Genomic DNA, 19,373 nt, shown 5'->3' with positions numbered 1-19,373 from the left:
CAGAGAGAAAAAGAGACATTATACAGAGACCCGATCGCATCTTTTCTACTTTTGGGTCTAAATGCAGAAACAAAAACAATCAACTATTTACCAGTTTAAGTATAAAAAATGCATGAAAATGACGTGTGTGTTTGTCACATAGTCCCCCACCCCTTTCTCTCATGGTAATAGTTTAAGATCTTTCCTTTCTTTATCCCTCCACCAACTTGCTTATTTCTTGCTTTCAATTCAACCTTGCTTTTTCCTGGTTCCGATTTCTGTACCATGGGACACTATCCTAAGACATTGTTTATTGCACTGTGCCAGGTGCCAGGAATACAACAGTAAACTCCCTTCATGGAGTTTATTCTCTAGTGGTAGAGATGGAATATTAAACAAATATTTATGCAAGTAAATGTGTAATTATAGACTTACCTTAGAGAATTATATCTTAGTTATTGACTTAAAGTTATAAATTAGAACTAACACAATTATACACACATGTATTACATATATAATTTAAAAGTTTGAAGTTATAAGCTGTTTTGAAAATGTATACTACTTTTAGCTTAATAAAACCCTTTCTTTCAGTAAAATTTCTCATAAAGCACATTTTAAGCAGTTATATTTGGACATTACAATCCATTTTCTCTTCATAAGAATTTCTAGTAAGAGAATGTCATGTGTAACAAATTTGAATTATGTGCAATGTTTACATGAACCTCAAATATCTTGCATATGCCAAGTGAGAGGGATGATGATATAGCATCTTACTCATATGTTCTTTTTACTTAAGTATTATTTCAGAGCAAAAACTAAAGACTTTTGTGTTTAGTCTTAATTTTGCTATAAAGATATTTTTCTGTGCTATAACTTTGCTTTTAAGTGCAGTTTGAGTGAAAGGTAGCATGAGTTCCCCCAAAATGTTGGGACATTTATACAGGAGAAAGAATTCTTCCAAATAATTTCCTTTTCCTCTCACTGCTTTTCTAGCTGTTATCCACAGTCAGCTCTTCTTTCTACCCTGACTGGTAAAATCTTCATTAGATTACATTCCACATGCAGACTGTTTATTTACTTTCAAGCTATTGCTTATTCCTTACTTTCTTATCATTCAATTCCTATATGCTATTCCTAGCTGTATGAATTATTTAGATATACTGATTTGATACAGAACTACCAATAATTTTCCCATTAATATCAATGTAAATATTTCATTTTTGTATTTCTATTTAGTGGCTGGGTTTCAGTAACTAATTAAAGTTATTAAGCAAGGAATAGGTTGTAGGAAATGCAGTTTTGGAGACCAAAAAACAGGATAGCTGCCTGTGTCTGAGTGATAAGGGGAGGGTCCCTGGGAGACACACCATTTAAACTGACACTTAATAATAATTGAGATGTACACAGAAGACAAGAGAGTTAGTGAGGGGTACATGTCCCAGGTTCTTCAGTGGGGGAGGCCTTCAATAAGGAATTGAGAATATATATGGAGTGAGTATGGTAGGCAAGTGGCAAATTGGTACCTGACAAACCTGGAAGGGCAGTAAAATGGATTTACCCAGACCCTATTGAGCACATCAGGAGAGCCGTGGGAAGACAACGAAGGGCTTTACACAACCAAGTTTCATGATTATGTTTACTTTTCCAGAAGCCACTTAGCTACTCTGTTCATAAGGGGTTGGAAGAGAGAAGAAGTGGATGATGCAACATGACTAATAAAAGAAGCTATGGAGGCCAGGCACTATTGCTCATGTCTGTAATCCCAGCACTTTGGGAGGCTGAGTTGGGTGGATCACCTGAGGTCAGGAGTTTGAGACCAGCCTAGCCAACATGGTGAAACCCTTTCTCTACTAAAAATACAAATAAGAAATTTCTGGGCCTGGTGGCGCATGCCTGTAATCCCAGCTGAGGTAGGAGAATCGCTTATCGCTTGAACCCGGGAGGCGGAGGTTGCAGTGAACCGAGACCATGCCATTGCACTCCAGCCTGGGCAACAGGAGCAAAACTTCATCCAAAAAAAAAAAAAAAAAAAAGAAGCTATGGGGTAGAGATACTGGTGGCTACAACTAGGCTGGTGAAAGAGATGATAACAAAAAGTGAAGGAGATTGAAAGATGCATTTCAATGTTTCATTGACATGAATTTCTGCATAATTAGATATAAAGGTAAAAATAGATATTGATACTCACTTTCCCCAGTGTTTGACCCTCATCTCTAGAATCCAGATGTGTATTGCACTGCCTCCATCTCTCTTTAAGTTAACAATGATAAGATCAAATTTTTGCTATAGGCTAGGGAACTATCCCAACTGCTTTGCATATGTTCTATCATATAATTTTCAGTAGAGTCTCCGTGTCTTATTAAAATTGATATTTCATAAATAAATTAAATACCTTGAAGAGGGCCACATGATTGGTTAGTGGGATAATCTAAATTCAAACCCAGGCAGTTTGCCTACAGAGACCATCTCCGAGTAATACTATGTCCTCCCATCTCTAATCTTACATCCAATTGAACGCCTAACTATAATATTCTACTGCATCTCTTAAGAGTAAAATATGGCTGGGAGTTTTCTATATATTTTAATTATCCATGTGCTGCCTGAATTTCAGAAGCAAAGATAACAATGTGTTGGCTGCACCTGTAAATGCTGCAGTGCTGAGAAATCTCCAGCTCTTTAAATGTCATCTCTCAAAACTCCAGAAAGCTGATTGCAAAGTGGCAATCCTTTGCTTGTGATCAGACTGTTAAATTAATTCTTAAAGGAGTTGCTCGCAACTTCAAAATGATTTTCAGCTTAAGAAAAGTCACAAACACCCTATTTTCTCCTTAACATATTCAGCTGCAGAAAAATAGAGGAACATGCAAACATCTATAGTGACACTTTATGACAGACATCAAGAAACACGTTGATGACAATGATGACAACTGAGTGGAAACATTAGCCCATAAGACATTAATTCTTGGTGCAAACCATGACTTTCATGTACATGGATGTCATCCTGATGTTTCCTATAGAAAGGAAAACTGGGACACTTTTGAGAGTTAACAGAGCCACTAACTGGATGGGACAACAGAAATAAACCAGGACTAATCTAGGCAAACGAAGATGTAAGAATTCCCACCTGAGTACAGTTACCTTATGCCAATGCGCCATTTGCAGCTGGTGCACAGGTCTTACTGTAGCATTTGTCTTGAATTACTGGTGTCAGAATGTTTCTTTCATATGTGAATTCTATTGTGTCATTGCGAAGCTGAGTCAGGGAATAAGTTAGTGGTAGAAGTGGATGAAAAAGTCTTAGGAGAAAGAGTGTGGGTTTTGGAGCTTCATAAACCTGTCTCGAACACATATTCTACCACTAACTTATTAGATGATCTTGGTATGACAGAAGTCAGCTGAACATCAAGTTACTTGTCTAGGCTACATGCATGTCCCCAGTTGCCTGATTGCTTATAAACATGACAGAAATAAGGAATATGACCCTTAGAAGTCTCCCAATAGGCTGGGCATGGTGGCTTATGCCTGTAATCCCAGAATTTTGGGAGGCCGAGGCAGGTGGATCACCTGAGGTCAGGAGTTCGAGACCAGCCTCATCAACATGGTGAAACCCTGTCTCTACCAAAAAATACAAAAATTAGCCAGGGATGCTGGTGGACACCTGTAATCCCAGCTACTCAGGAGGTTGAGGCAGGAGAATCACTTGAACTGGGGAGGCGGAGGTGGCAGTGAGCCGAGATCACGCCATTGCACTCCAACCTGGGGGACACAGCAAGATTCTACCAAAAAAAAAAAAAAGAAGTCTCTCAAGAATGATGGATATTATTATTACCATTATCTTTTATTCTTACATATCACTTCTTGATGACAGTGGTTGGAGGTGCACTTTTTTCTCTATTTATTGACATTATTAAGATGTCTAGTGCTAAGACAATAGGAGGTGTTCAACAAATATTGAGATGTATATCAATTAGCAACATGTTAGACTGTATGCAACAAAGGCCCAACTAACAATAGCTTTGAGAAATATAGAATCATTTGTCTTGTGAAAGCGAATTATAGGGCTGGGAAACCCCATGCTGTTACACTTGCTCAATGATGCTGAGGGCCCAAGACTTTGGCAACTGCACATTACACAATTTTTAGCAGAAAATACATCAAGGAGAAGTCTCCTTAGAAAGAATTTCTATCCTCCTTGTTCCCATCAACATCTGAACTTATCTGCGTGTGTATGAAAGTCGTCAGTCTCATGTGGGTAATTAATTGGGTCTGTAGACAGTTCTCCAGTTCTCCTAGGCACCATTATCCATTTTATTCTTTATCCAGACCTCCCCAACTTATTTGGTATATTAGTAGAATGAGATATTAATCCCTTCAACCCTCAGTATACCCACATGGGATCTGAAATGTCCAAATCTGCTGGGTAAGTCACTTCTAGATGAGAGCAGTCTTACTGTTACTTATGAAAGAACAAGGAACAATGTGATAATTTTAATGTATTCCATAATATGAAAAAAATTAGAAAACAAATAAATGTAAAAGAAGCCCCAGTGAGAATAACATTTGTGCCCAGTAGGTTGGCAAAACTTAAAAAGTCTTAATAATCATAAGGGTAGGAAAGGGTATTGATGAAGAGGATTACTTTATAAACTTTTGGTATGAGTATAATTTTGTCCAAGCACTTTGGCAAACAAGTTTATATTATATTGTGAAATTTGATATTTGCATATACTTCACAACTTAGCAATTCTATGCCTAGCAATTTTACTCCAGAGAAATGTTCCCACATGACTCCCTGGAAACACATATAAGATTGGTCCTAGCAGCATTATCTACTGTGAAAACAAATAGACAAACAGACTTGGAAACAACCTAAATTCCAGAAGAAGAAAATAGGTAAATAAATTTAGATATATTCATACAATAAAGTACCATACAGCCATGAAAATGAATGCTGAACAAATCATTATGGGTTTGATTTAGGAGCATTGTTTGAAAAACAAAGTCCCACAAGCAAGATATAGTTTGATACTATTTTAAAAAAGTATATTAACGAATTAAGCTAAATTATGTGTATGCGTGCAAGCACTATTTCTTTTAAATCAAGTAAAATAATGAACATCATTTGGAATAGTGGTTACTTCTGAGGTGGATGGAGTTTCCACCTGAATTTAAGCTAAGTTAAAATTTTTTTTATTATTTTTAAAAATGTTTGTGGTTACATAGTAGGTGGATATATTTGAGAGGTACATGAGATGTTTTGATACAGACATGCAATGCATAATAATCACATCATATAACATGGGGTTCCCCATCCACTCAAGCATTTATCCTTTGTGTTACAAACAATCCAATTACATTTTTTTTTGAGACGGAGTCTCTCTCTGTCGCCCAGGCTGGGGTGCAGTGGCACGATCCCGGCTCACTGCAGGCTCCGCCTCCTGTGTTCATGCCATTCTCCTTCCTCAGCCTCCTGAGTAGCTGGGACTACAGGCACCCACCACCACACCTGGCTAATTTTTTGTATTTTTAGTACAGACGGGGTTTCACCATGTTAGCCAGGATGGTCTCGATCTCCTGACCTCGTGATCCACCTGCCTCACCCTTCAGTTACATTCTTAAAGTTGTTTTAAAATATACAATTATTATTGACTATAGTCACCCTGTTAATGTTATTGAGAGTCCATTTTTGAAACTTGTCCCTTCATAAGACATAAATTGTTTTGCTCTAGACTTGCAAATTTTAGAAAACGTAACCAAATCCTCCTACTCTGACTATTAGTAAAGTCAACTGATGCTCCTATTTCCAGCACACGGGACCATGTCTGCAACCTTAGACCATTTCTTTTTATGTCACTGCTGGGTGTCTGTTGTGCGGGCCAGGGTGGTTTAAAGAGCTCAGAATTGAGGAGACACAATCTTGTGATCTAACTGATCCTAGGACTATTTTTTCCACTGTCACTATTTAATTTCTTAAATTTACACACAGTGAAATTTAATGTACATCTTGTATAATTCGTTTTTTGATGTACAATTCTGCTAATGTTGACAAATGCAGAGACATGTGACCTCATTCACAGTAGGACACAAAACAGTTCTCTCAACTCCACCATTTCCTGGTGCTGCCCCTTAGCAGTCAAACTTTTCATCAGCCCATAACCCCTGCCAACCACTGATCTGTTTCTCTCTCTCTCTCTCTGGAGTTTTTCCCTTTCTGGAATGTTATATGCATGGTATTTTACAATGAATAATCTTTTGATAGTGACTTCTTTAACTAAACATAATGCATTCACCCATGTAGTGTACACCAACAATAAAATGCTGAGTATGATTCCATTGCATGGATGAATCATTTTGTTTTTAATCCATTCTCTACTGCTGCAGGAGGCTGGAGCTGTTTCCAGTTTTAGAATTGTATGAATAACACTGTTATAAACGTTCATGAGAAAGTTTCCGTGTGAACCTCTGCTTTCATTTCTGTGTGATAAATACTTACTAGTAGTATTGCTTGGTCATAATATAAGGGTATATTTAACCTCATGAGAGACTATGAAAATACTTTTCAGAGTAGCTATATCATTTTGCAGTCCCACCAGCAATGTGTGAGAGTTTCAGCTGCTCTGCTACCTTGTTAACACTTGGTATTGTTATTTTATTCAAAGGCACTCTAAAAGGTGTGCTGTGATAAGTTATTATATCTGTTCGATTTTCATATCGATTTTTATTCGGTTGTCTATCTTATTGTTGATTTGACTATACACGTACAACATATAAATATAAATATACACATAAATCTGTGAGTGTATAGTCTAAATATAAGTTTTCAGATGTGCCATTAGCAAATATTTTCTCCCATTCTGTAATTTAATTATTCATTTATTTTGACATGGAATCTTGCTGTCACCCAGGCTGGAGAGCAGTGGCGCGATCTCAGCTCACTGCAAACCCTGCCTTCCGGGTTCAAGCAATTATCTTGTCTCAGCCTCCTGAGTAGCTGGGACTACCGGCTCGTGCCACCACGCCCGGCTAATTTTTGTACTTTTTAGTAGAGACGGGGTTTCACCATATTGGTCAGGCTGATCTAAAACTCCTGACTTCAGGTGATCCACCCACTTCAGCCTCCCAAAGTGCTGGGATTAGAGGCGTGGGTCACTGCGCCCAGCCTATGCTGTAATTTATGTTCTTATTATCTTAATGACGTCTCTCTCAGAACAACAGTTTTTCATTTTTATTAAGGCTAATTTTTATTTATTTATTTATTCATTTATTTGGGATGGAATCTCACTCTGTCGCCCAGGCTGAAGTGTAGTGGCGTGATCTCGACTCACTGCAACCTCCACCTCCTGGGTTCAAGAGATTCTTGTGCCTCAGCCCCCTGAGTAGCTGGGATTACAGGTTTGTGCCACCACACCTAGCTAATTTTTGTGTTTTTAGTAGAGATGGGGATTCTCCATGTTGGCCAGGCTGGTCATGAACTCCTGACCTCAAGTGATCCACCTGCCTCAGCCTCCCAAAGTGCTGGGATTACAGGTGTGAGCCACTGTGCCCAGCCTAATTTATCAGTTTTATTTTATGTATTTTTTCATGCTATATTAAGAATTTTTTGCATTACCCATCATCATGATGATTTTGATGTTTTTTGTTTCTAAAAGTGTTACAGTTTTACATTTTATATTTAGGACTAAAATCCACTTTCAGTACTTTGTCATAAAGGTGTTTGGTATAAAACAACATTCTTTTTTTTTTTTTTTTTTTTTTGGTGTATAGGTGTCCAGTTGTTCCAGACTAGTTGTTGAAAAGTCTATTCTTTCTCTACTAAATTGCCTTTGTACCTCTGTGAAACATCAATGCACCCCATGTGCTGGGTCTATTTCTGGACTCTCTGTTCTGTTCCATTGATCCTACTACGTATCTACATTTTCTCCAATACCACACTGTCTTCATTATTGTAGTTTTATAGAAAGTCCTAAAATCATACACTGTGAGTCCTCTAATGTTGTTCTTTTTCAAAATTGTTTAGGTTTTTTTAGTTCCTTACCTCTTCATATACATTTCATAATAATTTTGTCAATATCTACCCCCAAAATTGCTAGGACTTCTACTATGACTGTTAAATCTATAGATTCATTTATAAAGAATTGACAACATTGAGTATTCAAATCCGTAAACACAATATATCCCTCTGTTTATTTAGGTCTTTGATTTCTTTCATCCACGTTCTGGACTTTTGCACACACTTTGCTAGATATATACTTAGTTATTTTATTTTCTAAACTATTGTAAATGATATTATATTTTAAATTTTAGTTTCTAATTGTTCATTATTAGGGTAAAGAAATAAGATTGATGTTTGCATATTGACCTTGTATACGGAAGCTAACTTTACTTCTTATATGTAAGAGCTTTGGTGTGGAGTCATTGCAATTTTCTACACAGACAATTACATCTGCTGAGAATAGAAACAATTTAACTTCCTCTTTTCAATCTGTATGAGTTTTATTTATTTTTCTTATGTTATTGCATTTAACTTATTCTAGTACCATGTTGAATAGAAATGGTGAGTGAACATCCTTGCCTATTCCCAATGTAAGAGGGAAAACATTCAGTCTTTCACCACTGATTTAATGCTAGCCATATGTTTTTGTTTTGTTTTAACTTTTTATTTGAAAATGATGATAGATTCACAGAAAGTTGCAAAAAATGCACAGATGGGTCCCATGTATTCTCCCAGTTTTCCCCAAGTTAACACCTTGCATAACTACAGTGCAATCTTTTTGTTTTTGTTGTTGTGGTTGAGCTGAAATCTTCCTCTGTTGCCCAGGCTGGGGTGCAATGGCACAATCTCGGCTCACTGCAGCCTCCGCCTCCCGGGTTCGAGCGATTCTCCTGCCTCAGCCTCTTGAGTAGCTGGGATTACAGGCATGTGCCACTGTGCCAGGCTAATTTTTGTATTTGTAGTAGAGACAGGGTTTCACCATGTTGGCCAGGCTGGTCTCAAACTCCCGACCTCAGGCAATCCGCCCACCTCAGCCTCCCAAAGTGCTGGGATTACAGGCATGAGCCACTGCACCGGGTCTTATAATGCAATCTTGAACCCAGGAAATTGACGTTTGTTTAATTCACAAAATTTATTCAGATTTCCCCAGTTTTATGTACATTTGTGTGTGTGCACGTGTGCATATGTATGTCATTTCATGCAATTTTATCTCATGTGTAGGTTTGCGTTACCACTATCACAATTATAATATAGCACTGTTTTAAGAATTTATATAAGTGGTCTTTATTAGATTAGGAAAGTTTTCTTTTATTTCTAGTTTGCTGAAAGATTTGTTCTTTTGTCATGAATGTATGGTTTTGTGACCCAGAATGCGTTCTATCTTGGTGAATGTTCCATGTAAATTTGAAAATAATATATATTCCACTGTTGTTGGATAAAATGTTCTATAATTGTAGCTTAGGTCAAGTTGAGTGGTAGTGTTTTACATATGTACTTTTTTTCTCTATTTGTTCTTTTTTTTTTTTTTTTTTTTTTTTGAGACGGAGTCTCGCTCTGTCGCCCAGGCCGGACTGCGGACTGCAGTGGCGCAATCTCGGCTCACTGCAAGCTCCGCTTCCCGGGTTCACGCCATTCTCCTGCCTCAGCCTCCCGAGTAGCTGGGACTACAGGCGCCCGCCACCGCGCCCGGCTAATTTTTTGTATTTTTAGTAGAGACGGGGTTTCACCTTGTTAGCCAGGATGGTCTCGATCTCCTGACCTCATGATCCACCCGCCTCGGCCTCCCAAAGTGCTGGGATTACAGGCGTGAGCCACCGCGCCCGGCCTCTCTATTTGTTCTAATGTTTGCTGAGATAGGAGTGTTAATGTCTTCAAACATAATTTAGAATTAGTCTGTTTCTTTTTTCAGTTCTATGATATTTTGCTTTATGTATTTTGAATTGCTGTTTTTAGATGCATATACATATACATTTGTTTTGTTACTTTATATGAGAATATTCCTAAGAAATATTTTTGCTGGATATAACATTTGGGGTTGACAGTTTTCTTTTTCTCCTCCCAGCATGGTAAAAATGCTGTTACATTATCTTCTGTTCTTTATGGTTTGTGATGATAAATCTATAACTCATTTGAATATAATGCATCACTTTTGTTTCTGCTTTGGGAATTTTTCTTTATTTGTAGTTTTCAGTGCTTTGATTATAATTTTTCTGAGCATGGTTTATTTCGAGTTTATTCTGTTTTAAGGGTCACTTGGGTTTTTGAAGTTGTAGATGTACATCTTTCACTTTTTGGGAAAGTTTTCAGCCATTACATTCTCAATCTTTTTCTTCTGAACCAATTCTTTCTCCTCTTCTCCTAGAACCCCAGTGATAAAAATTTTAGATCTTGTATATTGTTCTACTGGTCTTTAAGACTGTTCGACTTATGTTTTTACATTTTTTCTTTCTGTTTTTCAGATTGGATAAGATTTCTTGATCTGTGTTCAAGTTCAAAGAATTTTTCCTTTATCACCTTTATGATCCAATTATTTTTTGTTTTATTTTGTTATTATAATTTTTATTTTTGAAATTTCTACTGAATTCTCTTTAGAGTTTTTATTCTCCATTGAATCTGTCTATCTTACCATTTATTTAATAATTGGTCACTGCTGTTTCATAGGACATGTCTATAATGACTACTTTAAAGTCTGTCTGATCATTTCAAAATGTGGACCATCTCAGAATTAGTGTCTGTAGATTGTCTCCTTCCTTGAGTCATTGATATTGTACTGGTTCCTCTAATGTCTAACTTGAATGATTTCCTGGTGACTTTGAAGATTAGGCTATGAGAATCTGGATCCTGTTAAAATTATGTAGATAGGATGGGTATTCTTTATTTAGCTGGTCCTAACTTTCTTAGGTTCAGATCACAAGTCCTGACCTGACTTCCGTGTCTGTGGTTCTATGTCAGTTAAGTTTTCAAAGGCTTTGATCAGCTGGAGGTGCCTTTTGGTCCTCCCCATAAGGGTACTACCCAGAGACCAATATAGACCCTGGATAGTGTTTCTACTCTCTAGTTCACTTTTCAAAGCATTTTCTGTGTTGTGTCAGGTCAATTCCAGACATATGTTCAGCAGTGAGGCCAGGATGTCACGTAGAGATTTACAGTACCTATTTTTTCTAATTCTTACCTCTCTGTGAATCCATCTATATTCACTGGCATCTGTGGGCTCCTTTTCCTGGTCTTTTAACTAGAAAATTTGGGTTTTAGTCTCCTTTACTGCCACACTTTTCTTGTACCTAGGTTCCAGTAAGGCTGAAAGCAGTGATTTAGAGAGAGAGTGAGAGAGAGAGAGATAACAAAAATCCCCTCACTATCTTCAGAACACAGAGCTTTTTATTGTTTTCAGTTTCTCTTGTCAGAGAGAAATATTTTATCTCGGATAATTTTTAAAGGCCTGCAGGTCTGCTGTTGCCACTGCTGCTACAGGACAATATGTTCCTGACTGGTGTTTGCGTTGGGCGCGGGACCTGGGGAGTAAAAAGAGGGAAAAGGCCACACAAGGATTCCTTCCATATTTCCCCTCTGCAGATGTCCCCCTTTCCATCCTCTGACAAGACAGAGAGGGTTTCTCCTAGAGTTTTTTCTGTCCACATATACTGTGTAGTTCTGGGATTTAGGTTGCTCTCCAGTTTAAACCTTGAATACAGGTGAAAAAAATATCTAGAATACTCTCCAGCTTATGAATTATACTTTGAGTTTTAATTTTCCTGCCCAATTTCCTTGAAATCATTTGCTTTCCAGAATGAGCACATAGTTTCTTTATATATTCTATTTTGAGTCTTGAGTTGCAATCAGTGGGGAAGACGGAATGGAATGTCCTTATTTCATCTTAGCTAGAACCAGAAGCTCTCATTTCTTTTTAAAAACATGGACAGAGAGCCTGTGGTGTCTCTAATGGAGATTGAATGAACAGAGATCAGGAGTTGATAGTTAAGCATATTTTTCCCATTGGACAAGTATGAGTTGCTGATTGCATGCTACTCCAACAGATGAGTAGCTTCCAATAATATTACCAAAGGACTATTCTCTGAAAAGTACTGGGGGTTTACCAAGCACCTTCTCAGGTTTAATATTACTAAACTGGTCTATAGGGAGAGTCACACAGAGCAACTTGAACAGATATTGGCCTCTTGTCCTTGGATAAGGAGAGAGAGACTGACCTTACTCACCTGGCTCCACATACACTGTGGCATCTCCGTGTTTCTTAGTGTTCTCTTCGCTGTGCTGTGGGCTTTGTATGCTGAGTGTATTTCACCCATAAGCAGGGTGAACATGTAATTCATTGTCTAAACCAGGACACTAGTAAAAAAGAATACTAACTAGGTGAAATGCTGGGAAAACAGGTGTCAACTGGAGCTCATTTTGGGAAAAGCAGAGTATGTGGTCATCCTACAATAAGTGTCTTTATCTCACATCATCTGTGCTTAGTTCACACTTTTAACCACCATAAGTCATTTCCATTTGATGGAAAAAGCTGAATCCACCCAGGAAGTTCACCTAACATCACGGCACCTTTAGAGGTGATCAACTGGAGGTCAGATTAAAAAAACACAGGATAGTAATGTTAAAGCAGAGCCTACAACACACTTATTTCTTTCTCAGCGTGTGAGTCTAGAAATGTGTGGCTCCTTCCCTCCTACATTTTGGAGAAGAGGGAGATATTTCCTTTGATCTTTTATGCAGAAATGTTACAAAGAGCTCTCTCTCGCTCTCTCTCTCGCTTGCTCTCTCTCTCTCTTTCTCTCTGTCTCTCTCCCTCCCTCTTTCCTTCCCTCCCTGCCTCTCTCCTTTAATTGCAACTCTCAATACATTCTATTCTTCCAATTCCTACTGGTTTTATGTTTTTCATGCCAAATCATTGAGAGGTGACAGAATTCTATCAATGTTTGAATTTGAAACCAGAAACATGTTTTGCTCTTATTTTCTTTCTTTCTTTTTTTATTTTTTTTATTTTTTAAAAAAAGGTCCTTGGCTTATTGTGAGTGGAGCAAAGATTTCTCTTCTCCCTCTCTCACTATTAATATTGAGATACAATCACAGGGGTGGGCTGGGGGGAGGTCAGGCTTTAGAATATATCTCTTTGCTGAATAAGTGACAAAAGTTAAAAAGCAGTAATTTAGGAAACTTAAATGTGACAGTCGATGATAGATGGAGGCTGGCACGGCTGCAAAATGAGAAACATTAAAATCGTATATTAGAACAGATCATGCTGCATACTCCAGTTTGTGTCAGCAAGTTTCTTTTGGTATGTCAAGTCCCCATAGGCCTAAAACTCTAGTCTACTTTGAAGATGGATTTTAAAAGGAATATGTTTATGTTTAGGAACTTAATAATGCCACATGCACCAAGAAGTCAGGTACAAAATCAAACTGAATGTGCTACTGTTTGTGGGATCTTTCCATGCCCGGTACCCCAGGGGTGTTATGTATGCTCAGAAGCTTCAGAACCAGACCCAATACCACCTTTTCCAGAAAGGCCTTCTGATAACCCCAACTGGGTGCATTTCTGCCTCCCCAGAATCTTCAACTCCCTGTTTGAATCTGTTTCATGACATTCCTTATTTCCTTCCTTGCAATAAGTTTTTCTGCATGGTGTCTTATCTTCCCTGCTAACCTGTGAGCCCCACAAGGACAGGGACCACAACAGTTTGATTTCTGCATAGGGCCAGGAAGAGAGCACTCTGGTTATAAGTGTGTCTGAAGATGTCTTTTCTTCCTATAAGTGCCACCACTTCGTGAGGTTAGGACACTGTGTTTACACTTCCATTTGAATCTATTCATCTTGAACCAGTTTTTATTTTTGCACTTTTTCCTGTCTTCCATACAGTGAGTTCCTTCAAGGTAGGATATATTCATTTTGGGAATCTCAATTACCAGCATAGGGTCTGAGCCACAGCTGGTATTCATTAGATACATGGATTAGCAGATCAATGAATCAATAAGTCAATCAATTAATTCTGAGAGCCTCACTTTCTTATGGCTGAACTTCCATGGACTAGAATTTTTGTCTTTAATTAGCTATATGTCCAAGAACAAGTCCATTTCCTCTATGTAGGCTGAATCATGAGATCACCAAGATTCTTTCTACCACCAATGTTAAATAACTCTGTTTGCTAAATTCTTTGTCTTTGTCAATGAAAATAACAGTGCTGTTTTATTAGTACAGTTTTGCCCTTTTGTATTTTATTTATGTAAATAAATTCATCATTATTAAGTTACATGGAGACTTAGTCTTGGAAAGGAGAAAAGAGACCATGTTATAACTGGAGTCTCTTAGATGTCCGTTCTTGCCTCATGGTCTCATAGGCAGATTGAGAAGCTGAACTTTCAGGCCATCCAAGAGTAGAACATCTCTGTCTCATCCCTTAGGCCTCCCATAGGCACCTGTGAAACTGAAGAAGCAAGGTGTGAAGGAAATAGGGGTGAGGTCACGGTTTCACTCTTCTCTCTCCATCTGTCTAATTTACTCCATCTCAGGAATGAGTCTGTAAGAAGGCTGCGTTTGTTATAACATCTCAACCTGTCACTTTGTTCTCTAATCAAGCCTAGAATCTGTATCTGGAAAAATTTTACCCAAATTTTAAACATCTCTCTTATTTTCAGAGTGCTGTTTCAGTGCTGGTCAGAGTCTTTGCAATCAGCTCAATAGTTAACATATTAGATGTTTAATGACTTTTTTTTTTTTTTTTTGAGATGGAGTCTCACTCTGTCGTCCAGGCTGGAGTGCAGTGACGCAATCTCGGCTCACTGCTACCTTCGCTTCCCGGGTTCAAGTGATTCTCCTGCCTCAGCCTCCCAAATAGCTAAGATTACAGGCACATGCCACCATGCCATGCTCATTTTGGTATTTTTAGTAGAGATGGAGTTTCACCATGTTGGCCAGGCTGGTCTCGAACTCCTGACCTCAAGTGATCTGCCCGCCTCGGCTTCCCAAAATGTTGGGATTACAGGCATGAGGCACCATGCCCGGCCATTTAATGACTTCTTTAAACGTCATTTCATTATGGTTTGTGTTTTTAGAAATGTAAAACTCTTCTATGTAGGTACTGTACTAGAGTATTAGCAATACAAGTAATGAGAGTACTGACATTTTCAGAGCATTTTATGCATTAACATTTTTTTCGGCTTGTTCATTGGAGGTGATATGTCCATGTTTCAGAGTTCAGGATCTGGAATGCATTAATCCGATTTGAATTCACACCCAAGCTAAAAAAATTTACTCAACTTCTCAGGCCTCGGCTTCCCTATCTCGTTTTTTGTTGTTGTTTTTGTTTTTGTTTTGAGACGGAGTTTCACTCTTGTTGCCCAGGCTGGAGTGCAATGGCGCAATCTTGGCTCACCGCAACCACCACCCCCCCGGGTTCAAGCGATTCTCCTGCCTCAGCTTCCTGAGTAGCTGGGATTATAGGCATGTGCCACCACGCTCAGCTAATTTTGTATTTTTAGTAGAGATGGGGTTGCTCCATGTTGGTCAGGCTGGTCTCGAACTCTTGACCTCAGGCGATCCGCCTGCCTTGGCCTCCCAAAGTGCTAGGATTACAGACGTGAGCCACCCACTCCCAGCCGGTTTCCCTATCTCTTAAATGGAAATAATAGTAACAGATATCACCTAGGGTTGCTTAAGGATTAAATAAAATAAAACAGGTGAAGTTTTCCAATGGTCCCTGGCATATCAGAAGCACGAGGTTCAATTCAATTATTAGTATTACATATTCGATTCCCCCAAAGCAACCATGCTTAGCAAATAGATATTAATCTCTGCATGTAATAGTTCAGGAAACTAACATTAAAAGAAATTAAAAGGGTAGTCTGTTGTGGCACATAAAGTAACTAATTCAAGGTACAGAACTAGGTTTGCTTTTTCCACACCTAGAGCTCTTTCATGGCACCCAGAACAATCTTTCTTTCAAGCTATTACATTCACACCAAACCAACAGTGTGGGATAAATGAGTTGGAGGAAGAAAACCTAGTGGCCTACTGGGGAGAGGGACTAATCACTTGATGAGATCGCTGTCTGCATATATCCTGTATCAGATCAGCATTAGATCTCAGCACAAAGAATGCTCAAATATGACCCCCTCTTAGAAGATAGCCAAAGGTCCTAAATTTCAAGGTGTTAGCCAAATATTCAGAGGAATGTGGTTTTTGGTCAGGCACCAGGGATCCTTAACACTAGTGAACAGAAGGTCACTCAGCTATAAATAAATAGATTTTGTTTTCATTGATACTCTATCACTGCTTCATTTTAAGCAGTGCAAGGTGGCCAATCCAATGGTAGAGGAGGGAGGCATTTGTTTGTCTGCAACTCTATAGTTAACGTGGGAACAAAGCCTGCTTTGTCCAAGTGAGATCCTATAACTACATCACACCCATCATCATCTCAGGACCAGGAAGGAGATTCAGGAAGAGATTGTTCTTGAAAAGCATCAGTAATATCTTTCTGCTTCATTGGCAGTTGACTTTCCTTTTATGTTGGTGAGCAGAGAGGAGGGCGCTTACATTGTCCTCCGAGGGAATGTGGATTGGCATGTACTAGGGTAAAGAGAGATGGCTAGCTTCAGGTTCTTTCCATTGTTTCATTCCAGAATTCCCTCAATATTAATGCTACCTGGTTAATTTCAACCTTGGACCAGTGAAATCTGGCTAATAGCAAGACAGGAAAGTTAAACACATTTTATAAAAGTTTCAATCATCACAGGAGGATAATTGAACAATAACAATGATTAGCTCTTTTCTTTTTTTTTTTTTCTTTTATTATTATACTTTAAGTTTTAGGGTACATGTGCACATTGTGCAGGTTAGTTACATATGTATACATGTGCCACGCTGGTGCGCTGCACCCACTAACTCGTCATCTAGCATTAGGTATATCTCCCAATGCTATCCCTCCCCCCTCCCCCCACCCCACAACAGTCCCCGGAGTGTGATGTTCCCCTTCCTGTGTCCATGTGATCTCATTGTTCAATTCCCACCTATGAGTGAGAATATGCGGTGTTTGGTTTTTTGTTCTTGCCATAGTTTACTGAGAATTATGGTTTCCAATTTCATCCATGTCCCTACAAAGGACGTGAACTCATCATTTTTTATGGCTGCATAGTATTCCATGGTGTATATGTGCCACATTTTCTTAATCCAGTCTATCATTGTTGGACATTTGGGTTGTTTCCAAGTCTTTGCTATGGTGAATAGTGCTGCAATAAACATGCGTGTGCATGTGTCTTTATAGCAGCATGATTTATAGTCCTTTGGGTATATACCCAGTAATGGAACCCTAGAAGAAAACCTAGGCAATACCATTCAGGACATAGGCATGGGCAAGGACTTCATGTCTAAAACACCAAAAGCAATGGCAACAAAAGCCAAAATTGACAAATGGGATCTAATTAAACTAAAGAGCTTCTGCACAGCAAAAGAAACTACCATCAGAGTGAACAGGCAACCTACAGAATGGGAGAAAATTTTTGCAACCTACTCATCTGACAAAGGGCTAATATCCAGAATCTACAATGAACTCAAACAAATTTACAAGAAAAAAACAAACAACCCCATCAAAAAGTGGGCAAAGGATATGAACAGACACTTCTCAAAAGAAGACATTTAGGCAGCCAAAAAATACATGAAAAAACGCTCATCATCACTGGCCATCAGAGAAATGCAAATCAAAACCACAATGAGATACCATCTCACACCAGTTAGAATGGCAATCATTAAAAAGTCGGGAAACAACAGGTGCTGGAGAGGATGTGGAGAAATAGGAACACTTTTACACTGTTGGTGGGACTGTAAACTAGTTCAACCATTGTGGAAGTCAGTGTGGCGATTCCTCAGGGATCTAGAACTAGAAATACCATTTGACCCAGCCATCCCATTACTGATTAGCTCTTTTCGTGTATCAAACATGTAATAAACAAATCATCTCCATAGTCTACAAAGTATAGTAATAAACACGAACTGACATAGATTGCATTTTTTTATGTGTGTTTCAGTACTCATTGATTGATTGATGCATAAATATAATGTGTGGCTCTATTCTATGCACCTCACAAAAATATTAACAGATATTAATAATAATGCTTTTATTATTGTCATTTTACATATGAGAAAGGTAGAATCAGAGGGTCTGAGTCTAAAATTTGTGTTCTTTGATGCCACAGGACGCTTCCTCTTGGTTTCGTACAGTCTAAAGCTGACCTTAATCTGTGGATGGCTCCTGCTTTTCTCTTAGCAGCGGTTGGTCTTTACTTGTGTTCTAGAGGTGACGGTGCTTTCTGTTACTCTGCTGCTGCTTAAGGACTTTGCTTTGTAGGAGCTTAAGGTGGGGAGCAGGGTCTGTTCCTTTCTACGGTGGCATTCAGGTATCTCTTGCACACCTGCATTAATGAGAGAGGGGTCTTTTTCTGATCACCTGCCCTGTCAGCAGTCATAGGTGAGTACTCGTGGAGGCCTGTGGGAAATATCCTAAGAGTGAGACCCTCCCATCCTCTGTGTCTGGGGCCCCCAGCTGTTCCAGACAAATGCACCTTCCCAAATGCCAGGGTTTTTTATGTCAGCACATCATAACGTATCTGAACTGCTATGCAGAACTGAGCTGGCAAGTTGACTGTTTTTTATTTTGTTGTTTTGTTTTATTAATTTTTTGAGTATTAGAAAGTCCTCCTTCACTCTAAAATTTTCCCCAACCTCTTGACATAGTGTTTGCAATGAGACCACATGAAATAGAATCGTTTCAGAGTTTTCCAGATTTCAAGATCAATATTTCTGCAATGGTTAACAGTTCATACTTAAACAGAGAGAATCCATCCAGAAGACCGTTAAGAGGGCAGGGTGCGGTGGCTCACACCTATAATCCCAGCACTTTGGGAGGCCAAGGCGGGTGAATCACCTGAGGTCAGGAGTTTGAGACCAGCCTGGCCAACATGGTGAAACCCTGTCTCTACTAAAAATACAAAAATTAGCCAGGCATAGTGGCGTGTGCCTACAGTCCCAGCTACTCGGGAGGCTGAGAGACAAGAGAATTGCTTAAAACCAAGAGGCGAAGGTGGCAGTGAGCCAAGATTGTGCCACTGTAGTCCAGCATGGATGACAGAATGAGACTCCACTTAAAAAAAATCCATGCACCCATTCATTCATTTATTAATTTGCTCAAAAAATATTTACTGAATTTTTTTTTTTTTTAGGTGCACAACCTTAGTCAGGCTCTGGGGATACAGAAGTAACAAGAAGACCAGACCCTTGTTCCAATGGAGGAGACATCCTGGTGGGTGAGACAGAAGGAAAAAAAAATAAAGCAAATCAACAAAATAACAGCTGTTGGGATAAGTGCTCTGTAGCAAACAAACAAGGCAAGGATAGAAGA

General features: G+C 38.8%; 1 long non-coding RNA gene across 1 annotated transcript in view; it reads left to right on the top strand.

The window, feature by feature from the left end:
- Window positions 1–19,373, top strand: part of LOC105371069 (uncharacterized) — a 236,274-nt gene that overhangs the window by 86,338 nt on the left and 130,563 nt on the right. The window contains exon 2 of the long non-coding RNA NR_197430.1: window positions 19,195–19,274. This is a non-coding gene — a long non-coding RNA (uncharacterized LOC105371069). The remainder of the gene's footprint in view (window positions 1–19,194; window positions 19,275–19,373) is intronic.

The sequence above is a fragment of the Homo sapiens genome, chromosome 16, assembly GCF_000001405.40.
Source record: "Homo sapiens chromosome 16, GRCh38.p14 Primary Assembly".
Lineage (NCBI taxonomy): Eukaryota > Metazoa > Chordata > Mammalia > Primates > Hominidae > Homo > Homo sapiens.
Note: the sequence above shows the minus strand (reverse complement) of the source record. Positions and strands in the feature narration are given on the sequence as shown.